This window comes from Homo sapiens, chromosome 1 (genome assembly GCF_000001405.40).
Source record: "Homo sapiens chromosome 1, GRCh38.p14 Primary Assembly".
In the NCBI taxonomy this organism is placed as follows: Eukaryota; Metazoa; Chordata; class Mammalia; order Primates; family Hominidae; genus Homo; species Homo sapiens.
This window is the reverse complement of record NC_000001.11, coordinates 32,813,621-32,840,397: the sequence shown is the minus strand read 5'-3', so window position 1 is coordinate 32,840,397 and position 26,777 is coordinate 32,813,621. Positions and strand designations below refer to the sequence as shown.

The 26,777-nt window shown below is 41.9% G+C and overlaps 2 protein-coding genes across 22 annotated transcripts in view, besides 9 other annotated features; one reads left to right on the top strand and one right to left on the bottom strand.

The window, feature by feature from the left end:
* The window catches only part of S100PBP (S100P binding protein), a 42,318-nt gene extending 18,482 nt beyond the window's left edge, over positions 1–23,836 (bottom strand). For 2 of the 20 annotated variants that reach the window (NM_022753.4, XM_047428037.1), the window contains exons 1-5: positions 22,709–22,745; positions 14,969–15,085; positions 13,468–14,300; positions 12,317–12,405; positions 10,331–10,434 (exon numbers count right to left, since the gene is read on the bottom strand). In NM_022753.4, coding sequence (NP_073590.2) covers positions 10,331–10,434; positions 12,317–12,405; positions 13,468–14,298 — 1,024 coding nt within the window. In that variant the 5' untranslated portion in view covers positions 14,299–14,300; positions 14,969–15,085; positions 22,709–22,745. Of the gene's footprint in view, positions 1–6,336; positions 6,365–8,018; positions 8,065–10,330; positions 10,435–12,316; positions 12,406–13,467; positions 14,301–14,968; positions 15,086–17,725; positions 18,192–18,218; positions 18,261–19,798; positions 21,874–22,052; positions 22,218–22,551; positions 22,746–22,798; positions 22,957–23,415 lie in introns of those variants that run through there. The other 18 variants (XM_047428029.1, XM_047428024.1, XM_011541963.3 and 15 more) reach the window with 18 other exon arrangements.
* Positions 6,544–6,713: an enhancer, noted in NCBI's record as "experimental_6850 CRE fragment used in MPRA reporter constructs". NCBI's record gives its function as "activates a minimal promoter by MPRAs in K562 erythroleukemia cells, with activity observed for both the introgressed and non-introgressed 1:33299371 variant alleles {active_cell/tissue: K562}" and the evidence as "EXISTENCE:reporter gene assay evidence [ECO:0000049][PMID:34662402]".
* Positions 21,039–21,168: an enhancer, noted in NCBI's record as "active region_701". NCBI's record gives its function as "activates an Ori minimal core promoter by ATAC-STARR-seq in GM12878 lymphoblastoid cells {active_cell/tissue: GM12878}" and the evidence as "EXISTENCE:reporter gene assay evidence [ECO:0000049][PMID:35858748]".
* Positions 21,179–21,328: an enhancer, noted in NCBI's record as "active region_700". NCBI's record gives its function as "activates an Ori minimal core promoter by ATAC-STARR-seq in GM12878 lymphoblastoid cells {active_cell/tissue: GM12878}" and the evidence as "EXISTENCE:reporter gene assay evidence [ECO:0000049][PMID:35858748]".
* Positions 21,789–21,898: an enhancer, noted in NCBI's record as "active region_699". NCBI's record gives its function as "activates an Ori minimal core promoter by ATAC-STARR-seq in GM12878 lymphoblastoid cells {active_cell/tissue: GM12878}" and the evidence as "EXISTENCE:reporter gene assay evidence [ECO:0000049][PMID:35858748]".
* Positions 22,332–22,501: an enhancer, noted in NCBI's record as "experimental_6822 CRE fragment used in MPRA reporter constructs". NCBI's record gives its function as "activates a minimal promoter by MPRAs in K562 erythroleukemia cells, with activity observed for both the introgressed and non-introgressed 1:33283583 variant alleles {active_cell/tissue: K562}" and the evidence as "EXISTENCE:reporter gene assay evidence [ECO:0000049][PMID:34662402]".
* Positions 22,869–23,178: an enhancer, noted in NCBI's record as "active region_698". NCBI's record gives its function as "activates an Ori minimal core promoter by ATAC-STARR-seq in GM12878 lymphoblastoid cells {active_cell/tissue: GM12878}" and the evidence as "EXISTENCE:reporter gene assay evidence [ECO:0000049][PMID:35858748]".
* Positions 22,869–23,426: a biological region, named in NCBI's record as "NANOG-H3K27ac-H3K4me1 hESC enhancer GRCh37_chr1:33282573-33283072".
* Positions 22,927–23,426: an enhancer, noted in NCBI's record as "NANOG-H3K27ac-H3K4me1 hESC enhancer chr1:33282573-33283072 (GRCh37/hg19 assembly coordinates)". NCBI's record gives its function as "activates a minimal SCP1, AML or CMV promoter by ChIP-STARR-seq in primed H9 embryonic stem cells {active_cell/tissue: H9 hESC(primed)}" and the evidence as "EXISTENCE:reporter gene assay evidence [ECO:0000049][PMID:30033119]".
* Positions 23,040–26,777, top strand: part of YARS1 (tyrosyl-tRNA synthetase 1) — a 42,120-nt gene continuing 38,382 nt past the window's right edge. For both annotated transcript variants that reach the window (XM_011542347.3, NM_003680.4), the window contains exon 1: positions 23,040–23,210. Coding sequence is in view for 1 of the 2 variants with exons in the window: in NM_003680.4 (NP_003671.1) it covers positions 23,154–23,210 (57 nt within the window). In the remaining variant the exon portion in view is untranslated. The remainder of the gene's footprint in view (positions 23,211–26,777) is intronic.
* Positions 23,427–23,928: an enhancer, noted in NCBI's record as "NANOG-H3K27ac-H3K4me1 hESC enhancer chr1:33282071-33282572 (GRCh37/hg19 assembly coordinates)". NCBI's record gives its function as "activates a minimal SCP1, AML or CMV promoter by ChIP-STARR-seq in primed H9 embryonic stem cells {active_cell/tissue: H9 hESC(primed)}" and the evidence as "EXISTENCE:reporter gene assay evidence [ECO:0000049][PMID:30033119]".

Genomic DNA, 26,777 nt, shown 5'->3' with positions numbered 1-26,777 from the left:
GGCAACAGAGCAAGACTCTGCCTCAAAATAAAATAAACAAACAAACAGAAAATAGGGGGCCAGGTGCGGTGGCATGGTAAAACACGGTCTCTACCAAAAATACAAAAAATTAGGCCGAGTGCGGTGGCTCAAGCCTGTAATCCCAGTGCTTTGGGAGGCCAAGGTGGGTGGATCACTTGAGGTCAGGAGTTCAAGCCCAGCCTGGCCAACATGGTAAAACCCCACCTCTACTAAAAATACAAAAATTAGCCGGATATGGTGGATGCACACCTGTTATCCCAGCTACTCAGGAGGCTGAGACAGGAGAATCGCTTGAACCTGGGAGGCAGAGGTTGCAGTGAGCTGAGATTGCACCGCTGCACTCCAGCCTGAGCAACAGAGCAAGACTCCATCTCAAAAAAACAAAACAAAACAAAAAATTAGTCAGGTGTGGTGGTGAGCCTGTAGTCCCAGCTACTCGGGAGGCTCAGGTGGGAGGATTGCTTGAGCCTGGGAGGCAGAAGTTGCAGTGAATCAAGATCACACCACTGTACTCCAACCTCAGTGACAGAGACCCTGTCTCAAAAAACAAATAAGTAAAAGAAAATAGTCTGGGTGCAGTGGTACACACCTATAATCCCAGTTACTCAAGAGGCTGGGGTGGGAGGATAGTTTGAGCCCAGGAGTTCACAACCAGCCTGAGCAACACAGTGAGACCCCGTCTCTAAAAATAAAAAGAAATTAGCCAGGCATGGTGGTGTGCACCTGTAGTTTAACCTTATTCAGGAGACTGATGCCAGGAGTTTGAGGCTGTACTGCACTACGGTTGTGCCACTGCACTCCAGCCTGGGTGACAGAGCTAGACTCCATGTCAAAAATAAAAATAAAAATAGAATTAGCATATGATCTAGCAATTCCTCTTCTCTTCTTGGTATGTAAGAATTGCAAGCAGGGTCTCAAAAAGATACGTGTAGATGCATATGCATAACGGCATTATTCACAAAGCTAAAAGGTGGAAGCAAACCAAGTGTCCATTGATATATAAATGGATAATCAAAATGTGGTATCCATATGCTGTATTATTAAGTCTTAAAAAGGAAGGAGATTCTGACACATGCAACAACAAACATGAATCTTGAGGACATTGTGCTAAGTGAAATAAGCCAGTCACGAAAAGACAAATACCACTTTGTCTGACTCCACTTATGTGAGGTACCTAGAGTAGTCAAATTCATAAACACATAAAGTGGAATGGTGGTTGTCAGGGGCTCAAGGGGGAGGGGAATGGGGAGTTATTGTTTAATGGGTATAGAGCTATGGATTTGTAGTGGGTGCAGCGATGTGTGCCTGTAGTCTCAGACACTCAGGAGGCTGAGGAGGAGGACTGCTTAAGCCTAGGTGTTTGAGCCTAACCTGGGAAATACAGCAAGACCTTCATCTTTAAAAAAATAAAAAACAAAGCTTCAGATGTGCAAGACCAAGAAATTATTGAAATGGATATGGTGATGGCTGTACAACAATATGAATATACTTAATACCACTGAAATGTACACTTACAACTTTTTTTTTTTTTTTGAGACGGAGTTTCACTCTTGTCACCCAGGCTGAAGTGCAATGGCATGATCTCAGCTCACTGCAACCTCTGCCTCCTGGGTTCCAGCGATTCTCCTGCCTCAGCCTCCAGAGTAGCTGGGATTGCAGGCACCTGCCACCACGCCTGGTTAATTTTTGTATTTTTAGTAGAGACGGGGTTTCACCACGTTGGCCAGGCTGGTCTTGAACTCCTGACCTCAGGTGATCTGCCCACCCCAGCCTCCCAAAGTGCTGGGATTACAGGCGTGAGCCACTGCACCCAGCCAAAACGTTTTTATAAAGAGGTTTTAAAAAGATGGTTATGTGTATATTATGTGTATTTTATAATTAAAAAGTTGGGGGAAACATTTTAAAATAGTGACCATACCCAATTGTTGGTAAGGCTGGGGGCAACCGGAATTCATACAACTGCTAATAGAAATGAAAAACGGTACAACTACTTGGGAACAGTTTGGCAGTTTCTTTTCTTTTCTTTTTTTTTTTTTTTTTTTTGAGACAGAGTCTCGCTCTTTCGCCCAGGCCGGACTGCAGTGGCGCTATCTCGGCTCACTGAAAGCTCCGCCTCCCGGGTTCATGCCATTCTCCTGCCTCAGCCTCTCGAGTAGCTGAGACTACAGGAGCCACGCGCAGCTAATTTTTTGTATTTTTAGTAGAGACGGAGTTTCACCGTGTTAGCCAGGATGGTCTCGATCTCCTGACCTCGTGATCCGCCCGCCTCGGCCTCCAAAAGTGCTGGGATTACAGGCGTGAGCCACCGCACCCAGCTGGCAGTTTCTCAAAAAGTTAAACACACACCTACCGTATGACCCAGTCATTTTACTCTAGATATTTACTTAAGAAAAATAAAAGCATATATATACAAAGATTTGTGCATGAATGTTCCTAACAGTTTTATCTGTCATAGCCAAAAATTGAACATAAGCCAAATGCCCATCTAAGTGAATGGGTAAACATTCACTTAGGGATAAATCTATATAATGGAATACTACTCAGCAATAAAAAGAAATAAACATGCAACATGGATGAATTTCAAAATAATTATCTTGAGACAAAGAAGCCAGACTCAAAAGAGTACATAGTGTATGATTCCATCACATAAAACTTTAGAAAATGCAAACTAACTGCAGTAGACACTAGATCAGTGGTCAATCTTGCCTGGGGATTAGAGGGGGCAGAGATAGGCAGAAGGGAGGAATTACAAAGGTGCACAAAGAAAGTTTTTAGTCCAATATGCTTATTATCTTTTTTTTTTTTTTTTTTGAGACGGAGTTTTGCTTTTGTTGCCCAGGCCGGAGTGCAATGGCGCGATCTCGGCTCACCGCAACCTCCACCTCCCGGGTTCAAGTGATTCTCCTGCCTCAGCCTCCCGAGTAGCTGGGATTACAGGCAGGTGGCCGGTGCCTATAATCCCAGCTAGGAGGCTGAGGCAGGAGAACTGCTTGAACCTGGGAGGTGGAGGCTGCAGTGAGCTCAGATTACGCCACTGCACTCCAGCCTGGGCAACAGGGCGAGACTGTCTCAAAAACAAACAAACAAACAAAAAGAACTTCCAGAGAGAAAAAGACAGATGACATACAAAGAAATAAAAGTTAAACTTATAACAGACTTCAGACTTCTTAAGAGCAATACTGAATGTCTTCAAATTTCTTTTTTTTTTTTTTTTTTTTTGAGATGGAGTCTTGTTTTGTTGCCCAGGCTGGACTACAGGCACCCGCCACCACACCAGGCTAATTTTTGTATGTTTTTTTTTTAGTAGAGATGGGGTTTCACCATATTGGCCAGACTGGTCTCGAACTCTTGACCTTGGGATCCGCCCACCTCAGCCTCCCAAAGTGCTGGGATTACAGGCGTGAGCCACTGCGCCTGGCCATGTCTTCAAATTTCTGAGCAAAAATTGATTTTAAATTTAGAATTTTATATCAAACTATCAATCAAGTATGAGGATAGAATAAAGACATGTTCAGATATGTAAACACAAAGAAAACATCTATGCACCCTTTCTTAGATATTCTCAGAGGATGTCCTCTACTAAAACCAAAAATAAGAAAGAGGAAGATATAGGATCCAAGAAACAGGATTCAACCCAGGAGGGCAGCAGAGGAAAATCCTGGGATGACAGCTCTGTTGCAGGGCTAAAGAACAAGCAGTGCAAATTGGAGCAGTAGAACAGAAGGCTCTAGGAAAAAGCTCTCCCAAAAAAAAAATTTAATGAAAGAAACTGAAGCAATTAACAACTCTACAAAAATAAACAATTCAAGAAAGAAAATGAAGCCATAATATACTACTTGGCTTTTCAGTGAACAATACTTAGTTGGGACACAAAAACAATGAATACTGATTTAACACCCTTTAGGATAGCTACTATAAAAAAAAACAAACAAAAACAAAAACACAAGCCAGGCACAGTGGTTCACACCTGCAATCCCAGCACTTTGGGAGGCCGAGATGGGGAGATCACTTGAGCTCAGGAGTTCGAGACCAGCCTGACCAACATGGCAAAACCCCATCTCTACTAAAATACAAAAATTAGCCAGACGTGGTGGAGTGCGCCTGTAGTCCCAGCTACTTGGGAGGCTGAGGCACGAGAATCACTTGAATGTGGGAGGTAGGGGTTGCAGTGAGCCAAGACTGTACCACTGCACTCCAGCCTGGATGACAGGGCGAGACTCCAGCCTCAAAAAAAAAAAAAAAGCACAAAAAAATAAGTGCTGGCAAGGATGGGGAAAAATTAGAACTCTTGTGCACTGTTGGTAGGACTGCAAAATGGTGCAACTGCTATGAAAAACAGTATGAAGTTCCTCAAAAAATTAAAAACAGACCTACCATATGGTCCAGCAATCCCACTTCTGCATATATATCCAGAAGAATTAAAAATAGGGTCTTAAAGAGATATCTGTAGACCCATGTTCATAGTGGCACAATTCACAATAGCCAAGAAGTGGAAGCAACCCAAATGTCTACTGACAGATGAATGGATTAAACAAAATGGTGTGTATATATACAATGGAATATTATTCAGCCTTAAAAAGGAAGGAAATTGAGTGGTGAGAAAAATAGAAAAAAAATAAAAATAAAAATATTTAAAAAGGAAGGAAATCCTGTCACATGCCACAATGGGTAAATCTTGAAGACATTATACTAAACGAAATAAGCCAGTCACAAAAAGATAAATATTGTATGATTCCACTTATAAAAGGTATCTAAAGTAGTCATATTTAAAAAAAAAGAAAGTAGAATGGTGGTTACCAGAGACTGAAGGGAGAGAGGGGGAACTGTTGTGTAGGTATAGAGTTTTAGATTTGCAAGATGAAGAGGTTCTGGAGATATGTTTCACAACAATGTGAATATATGTAACATTACTGAATTGTGCACTTAAAAATGGTTAAGATGGTAATTTTATGTTAGATGTATTTTTTTTACCACAATTAAAAAAAAAGATTAATGGGATCATGTCAATAGGAACAAGAGTCATCTTGAAGGAGCTCCCATTTATCAAATTTGAGACAAATTGAGCATCAAAAAGAAAAACCAAGAACAGTAGCTATAATTGATTACAACATATTGATTCTTTAAAAAAATCCATGAGGTTATAGTAATAGTAAAGTAATAGAAAATCTTTACAAAAGAATGCTAGTTAATAACTGTAGAAGAAATTATATATTTAGAAAATGAACATTTTTTTCTTTTGAGATGGAATTTTGCTCGTTGCCCAGGCTGGAGTGCAATGGCCTGATCTTCGCTCACTACAACTTCTGCCTCTTGGGTTCAAGAGATTCTCCTGCCTCAGCCTCCCGAGTAGCTGGGATTACAGGCGCCCACCACCACGCCCAGCTAATTTTTATATTTTTAGTAGAGACAGGTTTCATCATGTTAGTCAGGCTGGTCTTGAACTCCTGACCTCAGATGATCCATCTGCCTCAGCCTCCCAAAGTGCTGGGATTACAGGCATGAGCCACTGCGCCTGGCCAAAAAAGAACATTTTCTATGTAACTCCCAGTGCAGCAGCTCATTCAAGCAAGGATCATCAATAAATGCTCAAGCAATTAGGTGAACAGTTAGTTGTTGGGGAACAGGATATTCACATGGTACCAAAGCATCACCCCACAGATAATTTACTAATTAAAAAGGGGTAAATGTACTTTACAATGGGAAGACATGGCAGTTAACACCTTAACAAACTTAGTATTACTATTTGTGGAACAACCTGTCATTAAGTGTCATATATGCCTGCTGATTTGATTAGAAGGATATAGTGTAGGGTATAGTGTAGGATGAATACACAATAGCACCTAGGAATTATCCCTGCCAAAAACACTTAATTTGAATCTAATCCCACCTCTGGACCCAGCTTCTAGTTTACAGGAAATACAGAGAATGGAGGAACAAATTAAATGATACCACAAGAAACAGACAAAATTCAGAATGTGGGACAATCTATAAAACAAGTGACCTAAATTAAAAGAGATTAAGGAGACAATAACTAAATGTGAACTTTGATTAGATGCTATTTCACCAAAGTTACAAGAATATATTTTTGGGACAACTAAGGAAATTGGAATATGGAATATATATTACATGATTTTTTAAAAATTATGATTAAATATAAATTATCAATAAACAAAAAACATTTAACCTGACCAATTATTAAAACAAAATATGTTAAAATTTACCTATCAAATTGGTGACACTAAAAATTAATACAATTTTTTGGGGCAGGACCATCTGGTAACATGTAACAGTTTTTTAAATGTTTATATACTTTACCCAGCAATTCCACTTCTAGGGATTCATCCTATAGAAATAAGAATTGTACATAAACATTTATTGACCAGAATGTTCACTGCAGCATTACTAATGAAAATGGACACAATCTAATTTACCAAGATGAAATAAATTATATAATAAAATACTTTGTAATCATTAAAAATCTTAATTTCAAATATTTTACATGAAAAGGTCCTTAAAATACATTAAGTACAAAGAAAGCAGATTATAAACTATTAATATGTAATTTCCCTGTATATATTCTACCTTACAGGAAAGATAATTATCAAAATGTTAATTTTGTTATTTCTAGGTGGCAGGATAGATTTATAGGTGATTTTAAGTTTTTTTCTTTGTAGGAGAGAGAATCATTATTTCTAATGTCTGAAAGAATAAAAAATGGGCTGGGTGCTGTCTCACGCCTGTAATCCCAGCACTTTGGGAGGCCAAGGTGGGCGGATCACTTGAGGCCAGGAGTTCGAGACCAGCCTGGCCAAAATGGTGAAACCGTGTCTCTACTAAAAATACAAAAATTAACCAGGTGTGGTTGTCTGCGCCTGTGGTCCCAGCTACTCAGGAGGCTGAGGCAAGAGAATCGCTTGAACCCGGGAGGGAGAGGCTGCAGTGAGCCGAGATCGCGCCACTGCACTCCAGTCTGGGCAGCAGACTCTGTCTCCAAAAAAAAAAAAAAGAAAATAATAAAAAATGAAAGACAGAACAAAGTTATTTTTCATGATGCTAGAGGGCAGAACTAGGAACTACCACTAGAAGTTATAGGGAAGCCACGTTTGACTCAACGTAAGGAATAACGTTCTAACAACTAAAATTTTCTAAGCAATGAATGACCTGCCTTATGAGGTAATGCGTTTTGCATTATTAGAACTTTAAGCAAAGGCTAAACGGTCACTTGGCAAAAATATATAGAACAGACTTATGTGTTAGGAGATTAAAGAGAAGCTCTTAATGATCCTTTTCTACTTTAAGTACTTATAATTTCATAGAAAGTTTTCCATTTGCAGGGATACCAGAAAGGAAGTTGTTGGTATTTCTTTTTAAGTGTTATTATAAAAAAAAAACCCATGGGGCACTAAACTAAAGAGATTATACTTACATTAGAATAATGGAGTTGAAGGATGATTTACTTTGTTACATTCTACATCAATAATATATACATTATTGATAAAGTGAAAAGAGATAACTAACCCAATGGAGAGGATTCAAACTGAACTGGCAAGAACTACATTTGAATCTACTCCTTACTAATTTCTCTGTGTCTGATAACCTGAAGAATTACACTTTTTCAAGGTTAAATGCAATAAACATCTCAAAAGGAAGGAGGACAAGAAGTACTACGCTCCCCTTTTGTGCTTCTGGCTGCACTATAATTCACATACAAATGGAGGAAAGGTGAAGAACATACCACCCCCGCCCTTGCAATAAGGTATATACAAATCTTATGATTTTGGATGTAGGAATACTGGGCAATGGGAAGTGATAGAAAAACTTCATATTATACTGGGTTCCTGGAAGGCAGAAGGAAGTGCCAGAGGTCTGTGAAATTTTTAGAGTAATTTGTAATGCTGAAAAAAATGAATGCCCTAAAAGACGTGCTTAAAAAACAACTTTTTAATTATGGAAATTGTCAAATATACACAAAAGTAGAAAGTGTACTCACCACTCACCTTCATTTATCAACATTTTATCAAAGCTGTTTCCAGTATTTTTTGGCTGTGATTTAAAAACAAACACTAGATATAACGCTATTTTACCTAAAAAAAAAAACTTCAGTATGAAAAAATATCCTTTCTTGCTGGTAACAGCAACTATTCAATAAATGTTAGTTACTAGAGCTAGGTACTGTTCTATGCTTTATACCCGTATAATTTTCATGTAAGTTAAGCCTTGTCATTATCCCAATTTTACAAATCAATATTTAATGGCTCACCCAGCCAGTAAGCAGTGGTGCCAAGATGTGAACCCAGATGTTAACTCTAGACTAGACTTTACTCTCTCAACCACTAAAGTATGCTGCCTATTCACTATAGTTATTCTAGCTATTCTTCATGGGATATAGATTGTTGTGGTAATACTGGGAAAGGAACTGCTGAATGGGGAAAAGATTGAAAATGATGTTATAGTGTGAACAGCTGCTCTTTGCTTTTCTTGGGAAATTTTATTTAAATGCTCCAAATGAGAGAAAACATAACTGGATATCATCAGTGTCAACTGCCTAGGATATAAAAAAAGGAGTCAGCTCACAGAGGGAAAAGCAATGACATGACTAGGCCTGTTCCACAGAGCTTGAATATAGACAGGTTTCTTTTAAATTTGCCCCTCCAATGATGGGGGGAGAGGTGGAGAGGAGAGGTTTCTCTACTTCTATCAGACCTAAAATAGTTCTAGCAAAGGGATCTCACAAGCAGAGGGCTAAGAAATCAGTGTAAGTAATATTTGGTTGCTTATGAAATATTCAGTGAAAAATAAAAGGATACGGGATAAAAAATTCTTCTGACTGATGTCTCATCATAATCTTATAAAACAAACAAGAAAAACTACTACATAATTCAAGATTTGTCAAAAGAAAGAAGAGTCTCCTCTGCAAAAGGACCAAAAATTCTCCTAAAACCCTCCCCAGTGATTTACAATAGATCTTAGAGTAATTAAACTAATTATCTTCTCTGTGGAGCTCACCTAGGGCATCCTCCTTCCCCATCTTCCACTTTTCCCAAACACAAGCAGAAGGGCTCCTTCCCTGCTCCTACTGTACTTTATATGTAATTCTATTAGAACTCTAATCAATACTGCAGTATAATTATCTTCTTCTCTAGGCTATGAATTCCCAGAGGGCCAAGACCCTATCTTACTCCTCTTTACATTTCCATTTCCAATTCCTTATCTTCAAAACTACCACGACTGAAATACTCGAGAAAGTTTGCTGAATGAATGAAGATGACAGAATATGGAGTGATTTTTTTTTTTTTTGAGACAGAGTCTCATTCTGTCACCCATGTTAAAGTGCGACGGCATGATCTTGGCTCACTGCAACCTCTGCCTCCCGGGTTCAAGTGATTGTTGTGCCTCAGCCACCTGAGTAGCTAGGATTATAGGCATGTGCCACCACGCCTGGCTAATTTTTTTTTTCCCAAAAGAATATGATCCGGCTAATTTTTATAGTTTTAGTAGAGATGGGGTTTTGCCATGCTGGCCAGGCTGGTCTTAAACTCCTGGCCTCAAATGACCTGCCTGCCTCTGCCTCCAAAAGTGCTGAGATTACAGGCATGAGCCACCATGCCTAGCCTGGAGTGATCTTTTTAATAAGTGATTCTTTTATCAGTATAAAACCTCTCTAACCTCTTCACCTTCAGTTCTTCCCGTAAGTCTCCCCTTTAGGAGCTTTCCCATCAGCCAATAGTTCAGGCTGAATGATAACATGGACTGTACTCTCTTGAGAGCTGGAGAAAGAATCTAGTCACTTTGGTTTGCAATATCTTCTAATGAAGTGGGGAGAACACAACTTGAAGGATCTGGAAGGTAGCCAAACCTTTCAAGAGCTTTTATTCAGAAGCCAAAATGCAGAATGGTGTTTGAAATGCCTGCTTTTAAATGCTGAAGGTAACAGGAGAAATAAAACATTTCAAATTTTAAAAACCACTGATTAGTAAGCAGCACCTGGTCATCCACTTCCGTTATTTTTCAGACAAAAAAATCCCTAGCAAAAATGTACCGGTCTGGGTTAAAGCCCTCAACCATGAGGGAGGCACCTTTCATGTACTGTTGTAAACGTGCTTAGATCCCTCTCTAAAACTGGTTAACCAAACCACTTCGAGAATTATCTGGTTAGGCAATCCTTTTAAGTGAAAATCTTTTAAGTAAGGAAGTTATCTTTCTCAAGAATTTAAGAAAATTCTAAACAATCTCCCAGTTTAAGCTGTTACACCGGAAAGAGAAAGTCACATCACATGTTTTATATGCCTTTCTCTGGGTACCATGTTACCTTGGTTAGTGTCCTCTGGGTCTTCTATATGAGCAATGACACTCCTGAGATAAAGCTGCTTCTGCTGTTCTAGATTTGACTGTGAAAACGTCGGAACATTAGTCCTTGAATAAAGCAAACCAGAAAAAAGAAAAACAGCCCATTAGAAACAGGAATATAGCGTTTTGTAGAGAGAAGTGATATACTGCTGATTGATTAGAACTAAGTTTCAGAGGCAAAATTATCTTTATGATCGAGAGGCAGAGGACAGTATTAGTCATACACAAAAAAAACTAAAATGGAGTATGGAATCAAGAGAAAAAGAAGAGAAGCTGGGTGTGGTGGCTCACACCTGTAATCCCAGCACTCTGGGAGTATCAGGCAGGAGGACTGCTTGAGGCTAGGAATTTGAGACCAGTCAGGGCAACACAGTGAGACCCAAGAAATTTTTTTAAAAAATTAGCTGGACATGGCTGCATGTGCCTGTAGTCCTAGCTACTCAGGAGGCTGAGGAGGGAGGATGACTTGAGTCCACGAGTTCAAGGCTGCTGTGAGCTATGATCACACCACTGTATTCCAGCTTGGGCCACAGAGTGAGACCCTGTCTCTAAAAAAATCAAATAATTTAAAAAAAGACGAAGAGAAGGAAATAGATACAACCTCCTGCTAACAAGGAATAGAAAGGTGAAGATTACTAGTCCCTAGAGAAAGTATTTATTGAGTAATTCAAGGTTAGTCAGAAAATAGCTTTCTAGAGTGAAACTGAAAAGTTAAATGGGATAAAGACTGAAAAGAATCACTAGATCTGGCCATCAGAGCAATGGTGACCTTGGTGAGAGCAATTTCTGGCCCATACTCATACTGACTGACTGTACTAAAGAATCAGTGGATGAGAATATTGAGATTGCAAATTTATTACTGTCCCAAGTAGCCTGAGTTGTGAGCTTTTGATTATCACTTACATTGTAAGCAATTCACAAGGTTTCTCTCAATTATGCAAACAAAATAAAAAACCAGGAAACTGGGATTCGGGATGATAGTCAAAGGAAACTTTAGCCTTGTTTGTAATAATTTAAATTTTTATTTTATTTTTTATACAAGGTCAGTCTCCCAGGCTGGTGTGCAGTGGCATGATCTCGGCTCAGTGCAACCTCTGTCCCCTGGGCTCAAGCAATCTTCCCACCTCAGTCTTCCTCGTAGCTGGGACCACAGGTGTGCACCACCACACCTGGGTATTTTTTTGTATTTTTAGTAGAGGTGGCGTCTTGCCATGTTGCGCAGATTGGTACTGAACTCCTGAGTTCTAGCAATTGGCCCACCTCAGCCTCCCAAAGTGCTGGGATTACAGGTGTGAGCCACCGCGCCCGGCCTAATTAAATTTTTTAAGCAAAATTAATGTAATAAATGTATAATCAAAAGAATTTTTTTAAATCTCACTGTAAGGAAGCTAATCTGATCCAACATTTTAAAAAAAGCTTTTTCTAGTAGATTCAATTTAAAAGGACCATGTAAAGATACTGCCATCTCCTGGCAACCAGAGAATAAATTGAAAAGATGACGCAAATTTGCAACCCCTACTGGAATTTTTCCGCAAGGGTAGTTGTATGCAAGTTGGGAGGGACAACAAAATGATTTTCTACTACTTGTATTTTAACATTTTCGTTAAAATTATTCTAACCTCTTATCATATATGTGACCAGGCTGCCCCATGCACAGGAGAAGATATCTTACCTTTGTAGTGTTTTCGCTAATATGTCTATTTTGCTTTCAAAATAACCCTGTCAAGCAGCAGAGGAGGCATCATTAGCCTTATTTCATGCATAAAAACTGAGGTAAGAGATTAATTGACTTGCCAAAAGTCACATAGTTGGTAGTGCTAGAACTTCAAGTTTGCTTACTCCTGGAGTAGGGATTTTTTTCCCTGCACTAAGAGGAAACTGGAGAGGGGAAGAAAGAAATTGAAGAGAACCAAAATAAATCAGAATATTTAATTATACTTTACATTACCTGGTCTTAGTTTGTAGAACAGGAATGACTTTGCCTAGTCTTCTCTCATGGCCTTTCATCTTCCCAGAATCCTTGTTAAGAACATCCTGCTTTTTTGAGGAAAAGGAATGCAAAAGGAAAGGTGATTCTTAGTTATAAGAAAAGCACTGAAAACACTATTTATGGAAATATTTTTTAACTAAAGGCTACAAAAGCCTATTCGTGAACACTACTGTGTACCACGTATAACAGTAGTGCTTCAAATGAGATAACTGTAATCTTTTTCTGTAATCTTAAAAAAAAAAAAAAAAAAAAAAAACCTGGCCAGGTGTAGTGGCTCATGCCTATAATCCCAACACTTTGGGAGGCCAAGGCGGGTGGATCACCTGAGGTCAGGAGTTCGAGACCATCCTGGCCAACATGGTGAAACACCGTCTCCACTAAAATACAAAAATTAGCTGGGCATGGTGGTGCATGTTTGTAATCCCAGCTACTCGAGACTGAGACAGGAGAATTGCTTGAACCCGAGAGGCGGGAGTTGCAGTGAGCCGAGATCGTGCCACTGCACTGCAGCCTGAGGGACAGAGTAAGACTCTATCTCAAGAAAAAAAAAAGAAACCCTACGTGGCAGGGATTATTACACTCATTTGGCAGATAGGGAATCGGGCTCAAAAAGGTTAGATAAATTGCCCAAGATTTTTCAGCTCTTTCATGGCTGATTCAGAGCTAGTGCTGTATCTTAATATATAGCATGGCAATAAAGATTGAGACATAGGCTGAAGCCCAAAGACAAGAAAAATAACAGAATTACCATCTTAGTAATTATTCAACAGAGGGTAATTTAATATTACGTGCCAGGTGATATAAATACATTATTTCATTAATCCTTATTATACTATGAAGTATTATTTACTCCAATTTAGATAAGAAATGTGGGGAAACATAGAGGCTAAATAATTAGCCCAGGGTCACAGTGCTAGTCAGGATTCAAACCCCAATTTGTCTGAATACAAAGCTCTGCCAGATTATAACAAATGTACCACTGTGGTGTAGGATGCCCACAGCAGGGGAAGTTGTGTATGTGTGGAGATAGCAGGTATATGGAAACTCTGCTATACATCTGAATAAAAATAATTTCATTTTTCTCTTCACCTTGAATAAAATATACTTACTTTGTTTGATGAGGTGGAAACAACCAGAGATCTCATTTCACAACTTGACTTGTGTGAACCACCATTTCTGCAGGATAACTCCATATTAGGAGTCTCTGAATGGTCTGAGATCCGAGAGAATACAGACGTAGGGTTCTCACTGTCAGGCATATTTTTATCAGAGACAGTCTGTTGAAAGTTATTGTTTGAAGAAGAGAGCTGGGGCCCATTCCAGGCAGAGTTATTGGGGCTGATCCCTTCAGATTCAGTACAAAGTTTGCTTTCATTTGGGCTAAGACCATCTTCTCTCATCTCTTCTCCAAGGGAAGAGAGTTTTTCAGTATCTTTGGACGAATCAGTCTCGTCCTTATCAAGCAGAGCATCACAAACTGTTGGATTAAATGGTGCAACAGTTACTTTTATAAGATTCTTTTCTAGTACAGAGCGTCTGTTTAATGGTTTAGTATGAGCTGGTCCATGACCACTTGATGTACTTAGCTGAGGTAGTTTGAAGAGGTCAGGAGTCTCAGCTACTGGTCCCAGGCTGTACGATGAATTTTTCTCTCGGGGAGTATCAAGTAGAATTTGACTCCCTCTTTCTCCCTTCTCAACATGCCCACCATCATCTTCCCCAGAAGACTGCTCATATGATGGGTCATCTTCCTTCAACAGTGCATCAATCTCTTCCTCTGTGTAATTTACATCACCATCATCTTCTTCTCCCTCTGACAGCTCCAGCAAGGAGTCATCCAATCCATCCTCATCCAAGGAATCCCAAGAAAATGGGGCACCGTCTTTAGGCAAGAGAGAGGTACCAGAAGACTGTTCAGAGGGCACCCGTGAGCACATCATTTCTGGAGAAATAAGAGACAATTTCACTGAGGAAGAGAAAATAACCTTATACCAACTCCAGTCCACTATATGTGGGTAATGTTCTAGTATTTCAAAATCTTTGCACTGTGACTTGTAGCATAAGAAATAATTTTAAGATATTTAACCTTACCAGAAACATGGAAATACACGTTAGAACAATGAGATACTTTTGCCTATCAAAATGGTGATAATTAAGATGCCATGATAATCTGGATTGGTGAGGATGTGGAGAAACGAGCATTCACACACTATCAGTAAAAGCGTTAAGTCAGTACGATATTTTGTGAAGAGTAATTTGACTACACCATTTGACCCAGCAATTTCACTTCTAGAACTTCATATATATATACATGGATGTTCAAAGTAGCCAAATCCTGGAGGCAACCTAAATGTCTATTACCAAGAGAACTGTTCAGTAAATCATGGTATGTTTGTGCTATGGAGTACTTTTCAATTATTTAAAAACACAATGAAGTAGATCTGTATGTACTATCATGGAATGATATCTACAACATACAAACAAAACAAATGTATATTATGTAAAATGTCTGAATATTCAGTTTACACTTTAACACAAAACAAAAATGTATTACTTTTGAAATAAAACAAAATTCGAGAACACAAGAAGGTAAATAACTGTCTTCCATACTGTGTGGAGCTGCTGGAGCAATCTCTGCCTTTGCCACGAGACCAAATGGAAAAAGGTTTCAGTTCCTGCTAGCTGTTCCTTTCAGGAGACTTGTCAAAATGATTGACTCCCACCTTCCTGCAGGCAAAAAGAAAATTAGAGGATCTTCTCATCACTTTCAACTCTGCTAATTACAAAGTCAACTGTATTATGCTTTAAGGTGCTCGATGTATTAATTTTAATCTTGATTTTTTTTGTAATACCAGAAAGTTGGATTTTCTGAGTCAAGCACACCAAAGAAATCTTCAAAGAAAAAAAAATTATGCAACTAAGCAAACTAGTTTTGTTCCTCCCAACAATTTGTACTTTCTTAAGACTATCATCTACTTTAGTAGGATGAATACTGGCATGGGAGTCCAAAGACCTGGGGTGTAGTCCTGGTTGTATCACTAGCCAGCTCCAATAACTTGGGTATGCCACTTGACCATTTAGACTTGTTTCCTCATTTACAAAATGGGAAAGGGATGGAAAAGGGGTGCTAGGCAATGTCTAAGGTTCCACCAAAAATCTAAAAATTAATCATGATCACACACACACAAATCTTTATATATATATATATATATGTATAGAAAAAATGCAAAAAAAAAAAAAAGGTCATTAGAGATACAAACACAAGCCTGGGCACAACGTGAAATGCTGTCTCTACAAAAAAACAGAAAAATCAGCGGCGCATGGTGGCACACGCCTATAGTTCCAGCTACTCATGGGGCTGAGGTGAGAGGATCACTTGAGGATGGGAGGTCAAGGCTGCAGAGAGCAGTCATCATATCGCTGCACTCCAGCCAGGGTGACAGAGCAAGACCCTGTCTCAAAAGAAAAAAAAAAAAGATACAAACAAAAATTGATGACTATTATAACTCGCAGGGACCATAAAGGTAGGTCAAGGTTGGACTTTGTATCATTTTACTTTTCTACTTGAATATTTAGTTAGTTGTATAATTAAAACCTAGTTTTTAAACAGCTAATGACAGACCTAATCTATAATTATTTTCCAGATGGGAAAGGTGATAAAATGCTAGTATTTCACATATCTGAGAAGTATAAGAAATGCTTAAATACTGAACTCAAAAATTTGGAAAAGTACTTGTAGCCTTGTTAACTATAAAATTTCCCCTACTCCATGACCCTCCATACCACACCCTGAGCTTTAACTTTAGTTCATGCATTCCTTTTTTTTTTTTTTTTGAGACGGAGTCTCACTCTGTTGCCCAGGCTAGAGTGCAGTGGCACGATCTTGCGATCTTGGCTCACTGCAAGCTCCGCCTCCCAGGTTCACGCCATTCTCCTGCCTCAGCCTCCCGAGTAGCTGGGACTACAGGTGACCGCCACCACGCCCGGCTAATTTGTTGTATTTTTAGTAGAGATGGGGTTTCACTGTGTTAGCCAGGATGGTCTCCATCTCCTGACCTTGTGATCCGCCTGCCTCGGCCTCCCAAAGTGCTGGGATTATAGGCGTGAGCCACTGCACCCAGCCTAGTTCATGCATTCTTTTAGAAGATATTTTTTGAGCTACAATCATCACACACCACAAGCTGCATATGTCTCTTTATGATTTCCAACAAATCAAGGTATAGCTCCTGCCCTCATAATGTATAATACGTAATGTATAATCTTAATGTATAATCTTGCTAGAGAAACAACACTGAAAATTAAACACCAACATGAGATAATATAAAATGGTATGGACAATAAAGTACTAGAGAAAGAGAAGCAAAGGGAGGGATTATAGAGTTCTAGAATTAGAAGGGACCTAGTTAAACTTACTCATATTAGAAATGAAATGGGAGAAAAAGAAATACTAAATACCTATTATAAACCAGGTGCTCTGAGACACATTTTACGACTCTAACTTAGCCTCTCAACACAATTCTGTAAAATTAATCTTATCAAAGAAATCATTTTGTTGTATTTAAACCTAGAGCTGCTAAAACTTATTTTATTTTACCAATACTATATTCCAGCAATTGTTGAGAGTTCTAGGTGTTGAAGCAGCTGCCTCTATGAAAAGTAATTTCTCTGCATTAGTGACTGAGTTATTCATTTCTTTAGGAAGCAGTTAGAAAAAAAAGTTTAGTATGGAAAACATTCTTTGACTTAAGAAAATTTATGGTTGTCAGACAGGTTATCACAGGCACTGGGGTTAAGCAGCTACATTTCTTAGATGCCCTTTCTGGGCCATTGCCCCCCATTCTAACTCCTTACAAAAGGTCTAGTTCAAGCCCTTGGTTGGCCAAATGGAGAGTTCAATAGATTTTTCCCTCTTGGGAAACTAAAGTTCAGAAGCATGAAGTAACTTAACTGAGTATACATAGCTAATAATGTTAGAACAAGGATCGAAACCCAGGTCTAATTCCAAATGCAATGTTTTTCCCACTACATCTGTGACAGACTTGCACAGGATTGGTCAGCAAATGGCAGAGCTAGAATCCAAACTCAGGCCTTCTAAATTCAGTACAATCTATAACAAACTGTGCAAGAGTAAAGACCAAAGAGGGCTTTTGGTCTCTTGGAAAAAATATTTTAAGCCACCTTAATAGGACCAATATCCTTCGTAACCATTGCAATAATCAATTCCTACACAACATGACATTCAGATGCAAAAAAATGGGCTTTTCTGAGCTTCTTATGTTCCAATAGATCTGGGAACAAAAGTATACAAAACAATACCATATATATGGTATATATAGAGAGGAGGAGATAATTTTAATTTGTACAAACCATTCTCTTTCTGATGTCTGATGTTACTTCCTCTTTTTTTTTTTTTTTTTTTGAAACGGAGTCTAGCTCTGTAGCCCAGACTGGAGTGCAGTGGCGCGATCTCGGCTCACTGCAAGCTCTGTCTGCCTCCCGGGTTCACACCATTCTCCTGCTTCACTCAGCCTCCCGAGTAGCTGGGACTGCAGGCGCCCGCCACCACGCCTGGCTAATTTTTGTATTTTTAGTAGAGACGGGGTTTCACAGTGTTAGCCAGGATGGTCTTGATCTCCTGACCTCAGGTGATCCGCCCGCCTCGGCCTCCCAAAGTGCTGGGATTACAGGCGTGAGCCACCGCGCCCGGCCATTTCCTCATTTTCAAAAGTACTTATTATAAAGAAAGTAAAACATATACATAAGTAACATAATAGTATAATGAACCACCACATACCCATCACTCAACCCCAATGACTATCAACTCATAGCTAATCTTGCCCCATCCACTTCCCACCTTTACCAGATTGTTTTGAAGCAAATCCCAGGCATTGTATCATTTCATCTGTAAATAACAAGAATTCCTTATCATAAAATATACAGTTCAGATTTCCAATTATCTTATGTCATATTTTTTTTTAAGGCTAAAAAATAATCAGTATCCAAGTAAGGTCCATACAATGTGACTGGCTGATAATGTCTTATGTGTATTTTAATCTAAAAATTTCAGATCTTTTCCCCCTGCAATTACTTTATTAAAAAAACAATACGCGAGATGGCTTACGCCTGTAATCCCAGCACTTTCGGAGGCTAAGTTGGGCGGATCACTTGAGGCCAGGAGTTCGAGACCAGCCTGACCAACATGGCGGAACCCCATTTCTACTAAAACTACAAAGAAAATTTAGCTGGGCATGGTGACGCGGGCCTGTAGCCCCAGCTATTCAGAAGTCTGAGGCAGGAGACTCGCTGAAACCCAGGAGGCGGAGGTTGCAGTGGGCAGAGATCGCACCACTACACTCCAGCCTGGGTGACAGAGTAAAACTGTATCAAAAAAAAAAAAAAGAAAGAAAGAAAAAAGAAACAGGCCAGGCGCAGTGGCTCACGCCTGTAATCCTAGCACTTTGGGAGGCCGAGGAGGGCGGATCACGAGGTCAGGAGTTCGAGACCATCTGGACCAACCTGGTGAAACCCCAACTCTACTAAAAGTACAAAAATTAGCTGGGCTTGGTGGCGCGCACCTATAACCCCAGCTATTCGAGAGGCTGAGGCAGGGGAACTGTTTGAACCCAGGAGGCAGAGGTTGCAGTGAGCCCAGACCGCGCCACTGCACTCCAGCCTGGGTGACAGAGCAAGAGTCAGTCTCAAAAAACAACAACAAAAAAGCCACAATACCACGTATTATGTATGGATACATATATCACAAAATTATTAAAATATGCATGAAAGGCCGGAATTCAGGATGGTCTTGATCTCCTGACCTCGTGATCCGTCCGCCTCAGCCTCCCAAAGTGCTGGGATTACAGGTGTGAACCACCGCGCCCGGCCAATGTTTTATTTCTTAAGAAAACAATATCTCATCTTAGGCTACATGACAATAAATAAATAAGGAAAAAAAAATAGCAAGAAGAGACCTGAAACAAATATGGCAACCTAAGACAAAGCAGCATGCTAGGTATAATAATGTTCATTATGTTACTTTTACACTGTTAAATTATTGTTATTTTTTTGAGACAGGGTCTCAGGTTTGTTGCCCAGGCAGAAAACAGTGGCGTGATCATAGCTCACTGCAGCCTTGAACCCCAGGGCTGCTGGGACTACAGGTACACACCACCATACACAGCTAATTTTTTATTTTTATTTTTTGTAGAGACATAGTCTCATTATGTTGCCCAGGCTGGTATTGAACTCCTGGAGTCAAGCGATCCTTCTGCATTGGTTTTCCAAAGTGCTGGGATTACAGGCATTGAGCCACCATACCCAGCCACTATACTTTTTTATATGCTTGAAATAATAAAAACATCTTAAAATTATGAAGTCAATGGGAAAGATACAATGATTATACTCTGTGAAGTATCAAATGTCCTCATATATCACAGTACCTACCTGATAGGGTTGTGGCAAGAATTAAATGAGATCGTGAACATAAATGTGGCACACTAGAGGCATGGCATAAGAGACAAATAACTGGTGGCCATAGTTATTATTTCACCCCACCACCATCATTGCCCCGATCCCTGGAGTCTTAAGAGAAGCATAGGGCCAGGCGCAGAGGCTGATTCCTGTAATCCCAGCACTTTGGGAGGCTGAGGTGGGTGGATCACCTGAGGTCAGGAGTTCAAGACCAGCCTGGCCAACATGGTGAAACCCTGTCTCTACTAAAAATACAAAGATTAGCCGGGTGTGTGGTGCATGCCTGTAATCCCAGCTACTTGGGAGGCTGAAGCAGGAGAATCGCTGGAACCCAGGAAGCGGAGGTTGCAGTGAACTGAGATCGCACCACTGCACTCCAGCCTGGGTGACAGAGCGAGACTCCATCTCAAAAAAAAAAAAAAAAAAAAGCATAGGAACGGTAGGAAAAAAGAGTGCTAAACTGGTAGGGAATTTCCCCTAGACCCTGCTTGAAATTATCTAATATACTCTACTCTTATCTAGTTTAATCCAGCACTCAACCATATTGTCACTGAAGACCAGACTAGGTAGACATCTGAAATATCCGGCAAATTATGCAAATTAATGTTCACTGAACTATCCTTTATAGAGGTACTGGACCTCAGCAATTCACTTCAAGTCTCTGAACTTCAATACAGATGAGAACATGCATCTAAAAAGGGGGTAAATACTGTTAACTTCAAACACAGATTATCATGAGAAAAAATAGGATGTTTATGAAAGTACTCTAAACCTAAAAGTTCTATACTAAAAAAACATGGTATTTAATGAATGTGCAAGGGGGGAAATCCTCATATAAAACTGAAGTTCTTCAGTGAAATTCCAAAGACAGCCTTACTTATTACTTCTCTGTCAAAAGAAGGCTTGCTTACTTCTCTGTCTACCATCTACCACCTTTCTTAGCACTTGTCTGGTAACCTCCACTTAAAATATGGGGACCCCTTTATTTTTTTATTTTATTTTTATTTTTGAGACAGGGTCTCACTCAATCACCCAGGCTGAAATGCAGTGGCGTGATCTGGGCTCACTGCAACCTCTGCCTCCCAGTTTCAAGCGATTCTCATGCCACAGCCTCCCAGTAGCTGGGATTACAGGCGTCCACCATGCTAGGCTAATTTTTGTATTTACAGTAGAGATGGGGTTTTGCTATGTTGGCCAGTCTAGTCTTGAACTCCTGGCCTCAAGCAATCCTCCGGCCTCGGCCTCCCCAAGTGCTGGGATTACAGGCGTGAGCCACCATGTCTGGCCATATCCCTTCATTTTTAAGGGAAGAATATTTTTCCGATCTTCTAATTCTATTTCTTAGTTCCTCTACACCCCATCCTTTCTGTGACCCCATTCTGTCCTTCCACATCTCTCTCACCTGTCCACCCCCTTCTTCACACTTCAGTTTACCACCCCCTCTCTGTTCTCGAACCTCCTGGTTGCAACCTCAGAAACTGGTTCCCTTTCTATTTTTATCTCACCTCAGAAAACCTACTGCCTTCGAGCACAAAGCCTTACTTTATTGAGGCCACTAAAACTGCAACACCAGATGCAAGCCCACATCCTCTTTCAAGCTCTAAAGTCAAGACCATTACCAAGCAGGGTCTGACAGGTACAGCCAAGAGCAGAGATTATTTCCAGTGGACAAGACTTCCCCCTGGCCTTTGATTTCCAACCTTTCCCAAATGCAATACATGTGAAGCACACAGCACGAAACGCACTCAGCAGGCTTTATCACTCCATAAAAAATAGGCACAACATTTACAAAAAATCAAAAAGAACTGAAATTATCTGTAACAGTTTTGCAAATTCCTTCGAAGTAACTAAAAACACTGCAGGACGGAAAAAACAACCCAGGGCTGCAAATCTTTGCTTTAGGTAACATTTCACTAGATGAGGGTGCCAGGATTCTCCTCCCACATGGACACAGAGAACAGATGCGCTAAGCTGCAGCAACAGGTTTCTTTTCAAAAAGAAAATGTGCTTTAAAACACTTCAGGCAGGTCTGGTAGAGCTTGGAGTCCCTAATAAATACACAAAACACCGGAGATCAGGTTAGGGCAGGCCGTGGGCAATTCAACCACTTCTAGGACCTTTCCAGGGCCCACTGAGGTAATAACTGCTTTCCCTCTTGCCCTGGAAGTAACTGGTGACGCCGCCTCCAGCCCTTGAGGAGCCGGAGAAAGGGTGGCCCAGGCCCAACCTTTGGAGGATACTGCCTTGGCTCTCTCTCACAAATGCAACGGCCCGGGACGGTGTCGCCTTCCAGGAAGGGCCTTTGCGTCTCCCTCCCCCGGGGACACCGCGAATTCCCGCCTCCCGGCGGAAAGCGGGAGAAGCGAGAGTTTTCTCCCCGCCCCTCCCCCAGTAGGGGCAAACCCGCCCCTCAGCAGGCCTGTGCTGTGCGCTCCTCTCCCGGGGACCACCGTCCTCAGATCTCCCCAGGGAATGGGTCGTCCTCTTCCTGCCCCCACCCGCGAGACGCGGCAGAAAAGCCCGCGGCTATCTTCCCGCCAGCAACAGCCTCCCGCCGAGCCGGCCGGGACAGAGGCGGCCCCCACCCCCACTGGGCAGGGGACTGCAGACGGCGCTCCCCGACTCTCAAGACGACCAGGGAGCTTCCCTTTTCCTCAGCGGGGTGAGGGGCATCTGTCGCCCGCCGACTTGGAGGTGGAGGGGCAGGGACATTCCCTCGCCATCACCTCAGGAGCTAGAACGCGCCCTTCTCGCAGCAGGGCGTGGGCCTCCCAATCCCTCCAAGGGGCGGACGGCGTGCGCAACCCCCTGGAGAAGCAACAGGCGCCCCCATCCCCCTCCAAGCCGGGTAACGCCGACCCCCTCGTCCCTCCCGCTCTTCACCTCCGGAAGCCGGGCCAAAGCCTGGGCGAACGACTGCGCCTCACTCCGCCCCCTGCGCCATTTTATCGCCCCCTCCCCGACCTCCCCTACCCCGAGTCAGCCGGGCCAACACCAGGGGGAGGGCAAACCAGCAGTGATTGGCAGGAAACCGTCCCGCCTCTAGGAGGGTTGTGCCCCGCTCAGGCGCCTCAGCCCCGCCCTCCGCACCGCCCACCGTGCCCACTGGCTCCACCTTTTCCCGTCTCATCGACCTGCTCGACTCTCTGCTGCTCCTCACTTTTTCCGGCCGCTGCCGGAGGGGTCCAGGCCGAGTAAGCGGAGCGCCGAGCCCAGCTGATGCAACCTGGCTGGACTCGCGTGACAGTTCCCGGCACGCGGCGGCGACGGTGACCCAGGAAGGGGCTCTGGTGCCGGGCTGAGCGGGGGAAGCAGGGGTAGCGGAGCCATGGGGGACGCTCCCAGCCCTGAAGAGAAACTGCACCTTATCACCCGGAACCTGCAGGTCAGGCCTGGGGGTTGGAAATGCGCCGTTGGGGATTAGGAGCCCGAGGTTCAGTGATTTTGAGCCCCATTACGGGGTTCTAAGTATGTGGGGCCGGGGACTCGGCGCTGGCGCAGCTCTGAGAGAGCCTGTAGATCTCACTGCTGGTCGGTCAGTCAATCAAGCAGCCCTTCCCTGGGTTCCCCAGAAATCACAGTGGGCTCACCTCTTGCGTCCAGTTGTCTTGTGTTGGAGCCAAACTTTGAATCCAGGACTCCCATTCCACCCCCCTATTAAGTGCCAGACGTGGTGCTTAGTCGCTGGGGATACGTCAAGGGCCTGCCAGAGCTTGTCTGAAGGGGATCAGACGTTAAAAATGACCCATTACGGTTCAAGTAAGTACTGGAAGATGCTATACTGGGAGCTTTAAAGGGAAAGAGAGAAGGGAAGGCTTCCCTGAGGAAGTGACCTCCAAACTGCGCCTTGAAGGAAATGGATCCCCCCCCCTCACTCCACAAATGTTCCGTTTGTTACCAAGAACTACAGGAGTAGAAGTGAACCAGAGGAAGAATGGAAGAATAAGGAGGGAGAGCATTTCAGATGGAGGAAACAGAAATTGTGGCAAATTTAGCTGGAGTGGAGTGAGCAAAGTTATGAGGAAGCACTTAAATATTTATATTGCTTACCCCTTAACTTTTTCAGGCTTCTGACTGTTGTCACCTTATCAGCGACGCATGATTTCCGACCACTTTATTTAAATAACAAACCCTCTGGCACCAGAACTGCCCCATACCTTGCTCTGCCTTTTTTTTGTTATTGTTTCTACATAGTATACATTTTATTTATTTGTTTAAGAGAGGTAGGCAGGGACCAAGTCACGGGAGCCTTGCAGGCCTTATTCTGTTCAATTTTAAATTGGGCTTCCTTCTAAGAGTAGTGATAAATCAGTTGGGCCACACAGCCTGTTCTGTTTTTTCTTTTTAGAGATGTACTTCACATACTATAAAATTCACCCTTTTAAAGTGCACAATTCAGTGGGTTTTAGTATGTTCACAAGGTTGTGCAACCATCACACTATCTTTTTTTTTTTTTTTTTTTTTGAGGCGGAGTCTCGCTCTGTCGCCCAGGCTGGAGTGCAGTGGCCCAATCTCGGCTCATTGCAACCTCCGCCTCCCAGGTTCACGCCATTCTCCTGCCTCAGCCTCCCGAGTAGCTGGGACTACAGGTGACCGCCCCCACGCCCGGCTAATTTTTTGTATTTTTAGTAGAGACGGGGTTTCACCGTGTTAGCCAGGGTGGTCTCGATCTCCTGACCTCGTGATCCACCCTCCTTGGCCTCCCAGAGTGCTGGGATTACAGGCGTGAGCCACGGCTCCCGGCCACAACCATCACACTATCTAATAAAACTTGCACCCGTTAGCAGACGCTACCTATTACCCACTACTCCTAGCCTTAGAGAAACACTAATCTACTCTCTGTCTCCAGGTATTTGCGTATTCTGGGCATTTCCTGTAACTAGAATCATACAATATGTTTGTTGTGTCTGACTTTTTGCACTTAGCATAATGTTTTCAAAGTTCATGCATGTATTTGCACCTAGCAGAACGTCATTCCTTTTTATGGTTGAATGATACTCTGTTGTATGGATATACATTTTGTTTATCCGTTCATCAGTTGATGGACATTTGGGTTATTCCATTTACAACTTAGTCTTAACCAAAGGTTTTTGCACGCTTCCCCTAGCTAGATTCTTTGTTTCCTATTCTCTCTCCATAAAATAGTGCTGGTTGGAGACTAAAAATACACAAAACTATTAGAATTGACTCAATTGGGTTTTTTGTTTTGGGGATTTTTTTTCTGGAACGGAGTTTATCTCTTGTCGGCCAGGCTGGAGTGCAATGGCACAATCTCAGCTCACTGCAACCTCTGCCTCCTGGGCTCAAGTGATTCTCCTGCCTCAGCCTCCTGAGTAGCTGGGATTACAGACGTGCACCACCACGCCGGGCTAATTTTTGTATTTTTAGTAGAGACGGGGTTTCACCATGCTGGCCAGGCTGGTCTCAAATTCCTGACCTCAAGTTATCCGCCAAATTCGGCGTCCCAAAGTGCTGGGATTACAGAGTGAGCCACAGTGCCCGGCCTCACTCAGGTTTTAAAGGCTAAGTAATGTGACATCTTCTTGGATGGTGAGAACCCTCCAAGTGTCCACGTTGTCAGGGGTGCTCTTGAGCATGCGGGATCAGCTGCCAAAAGACTTGGAGCACAGGAGTTTAACAAGTCCTGGTAAAACATGATTCAAACCAGCAGTCTATCATGGTTTCTGACAGCCTCCCAAAACCGTAACTTGAGGAAACACTACAACCTCTTATCGGGGTACACTGGCCTGTTAGAATTTTTCCAATACTGTCATAGGACAAAAAGAAATCATTAAAGGTTTGTAAAAAGGAAAATGAGTTTTAAAGAAGTTTTTGAGTTTTAAAAGACTGTCTCTGGCTACCTTTTAGAACATGGATTGGAGGGGCCAAGCGCAGTGGCTCATGCCGGTAATCCCAACACTTTGGGAGGCCCACACGGGCAGATCACTTGAGGTTGGGAGTTCAAGACCAGCCTGGCCAACATAGTGAAACCCCATCTCTACTAAAAATACAAAAATTTCTCTGGCCTGGTGGCGGGCACCTGTAATTCCAGCTATTTGGGAGACTGAAGCAGGAGAATCGTTTGAACCCGGGAGCAGAGGTTGCAGTGACTCAGGATTGCATCACTGCACTCCAGCTTGGGTGACAGAGCAAGACTCCGTCTCAAAAAAATAAAAAAGAACTTGGATTGGAGGGAGTAAGAGTAGATTTGGGAGACCTGTTAGGAGAATGTTACGGTAATCCTGGTGTGATCTGATAGGGCCTGGATTTGGGTGGTGATGTAGAGGCAGAGAGAAATAGGAGGGTTGAAGAGCAGTTTTGGAGTCCTTGAACAACTCTAAATGATGGTACCATTTACTGTAGTAGGAGTGAAACTATCAGTGAAAAAGATGGTTGGGGAGTGAAGTAAGAAGTCAAGAGCATGAGTTTTATTTTGAACACGTTGAGTTTGAATGATTGGGTTGATAACAAGAACACGGTTCTGTGTATGGGCGTAAGCAGGAGATTTGGGAGTTACTGGCTCATAGTAGTAATTGAAGCAACTGAAGGGGATCAGTTAAGGAGACTGTAGAGTAAGAAGACAAAAGACCAGAGCCCCAAAGATTGCTAATATTTAATGACTAGGAAAAATAAGAACAGTTGCAAAGAAAGCTAAGCAGGCAGAGACGAGGAAAACTAAGAATAAAATAAAGGAGACCAAAAGAGGAGAATGCTTCTGGGAGGGAGTGAGGACTAAAAAATACTCACTGAATTTAGCAACGTGAAGGTCTTCTGTGATCTTAGCAAGATTATGTGTGATGTGATATGGAATTTAGTAGTATGATGTAGTATGGAATTAAAATTGGAATGGGAGATTAGGAAATGGAGCCCAAAAGAAGAGACAACTGTTACAAGAAATTGGCTATGAAAGGAAGGAGAGTGAGTTAGAGGCATGTAAACCAAAAAGTATCTG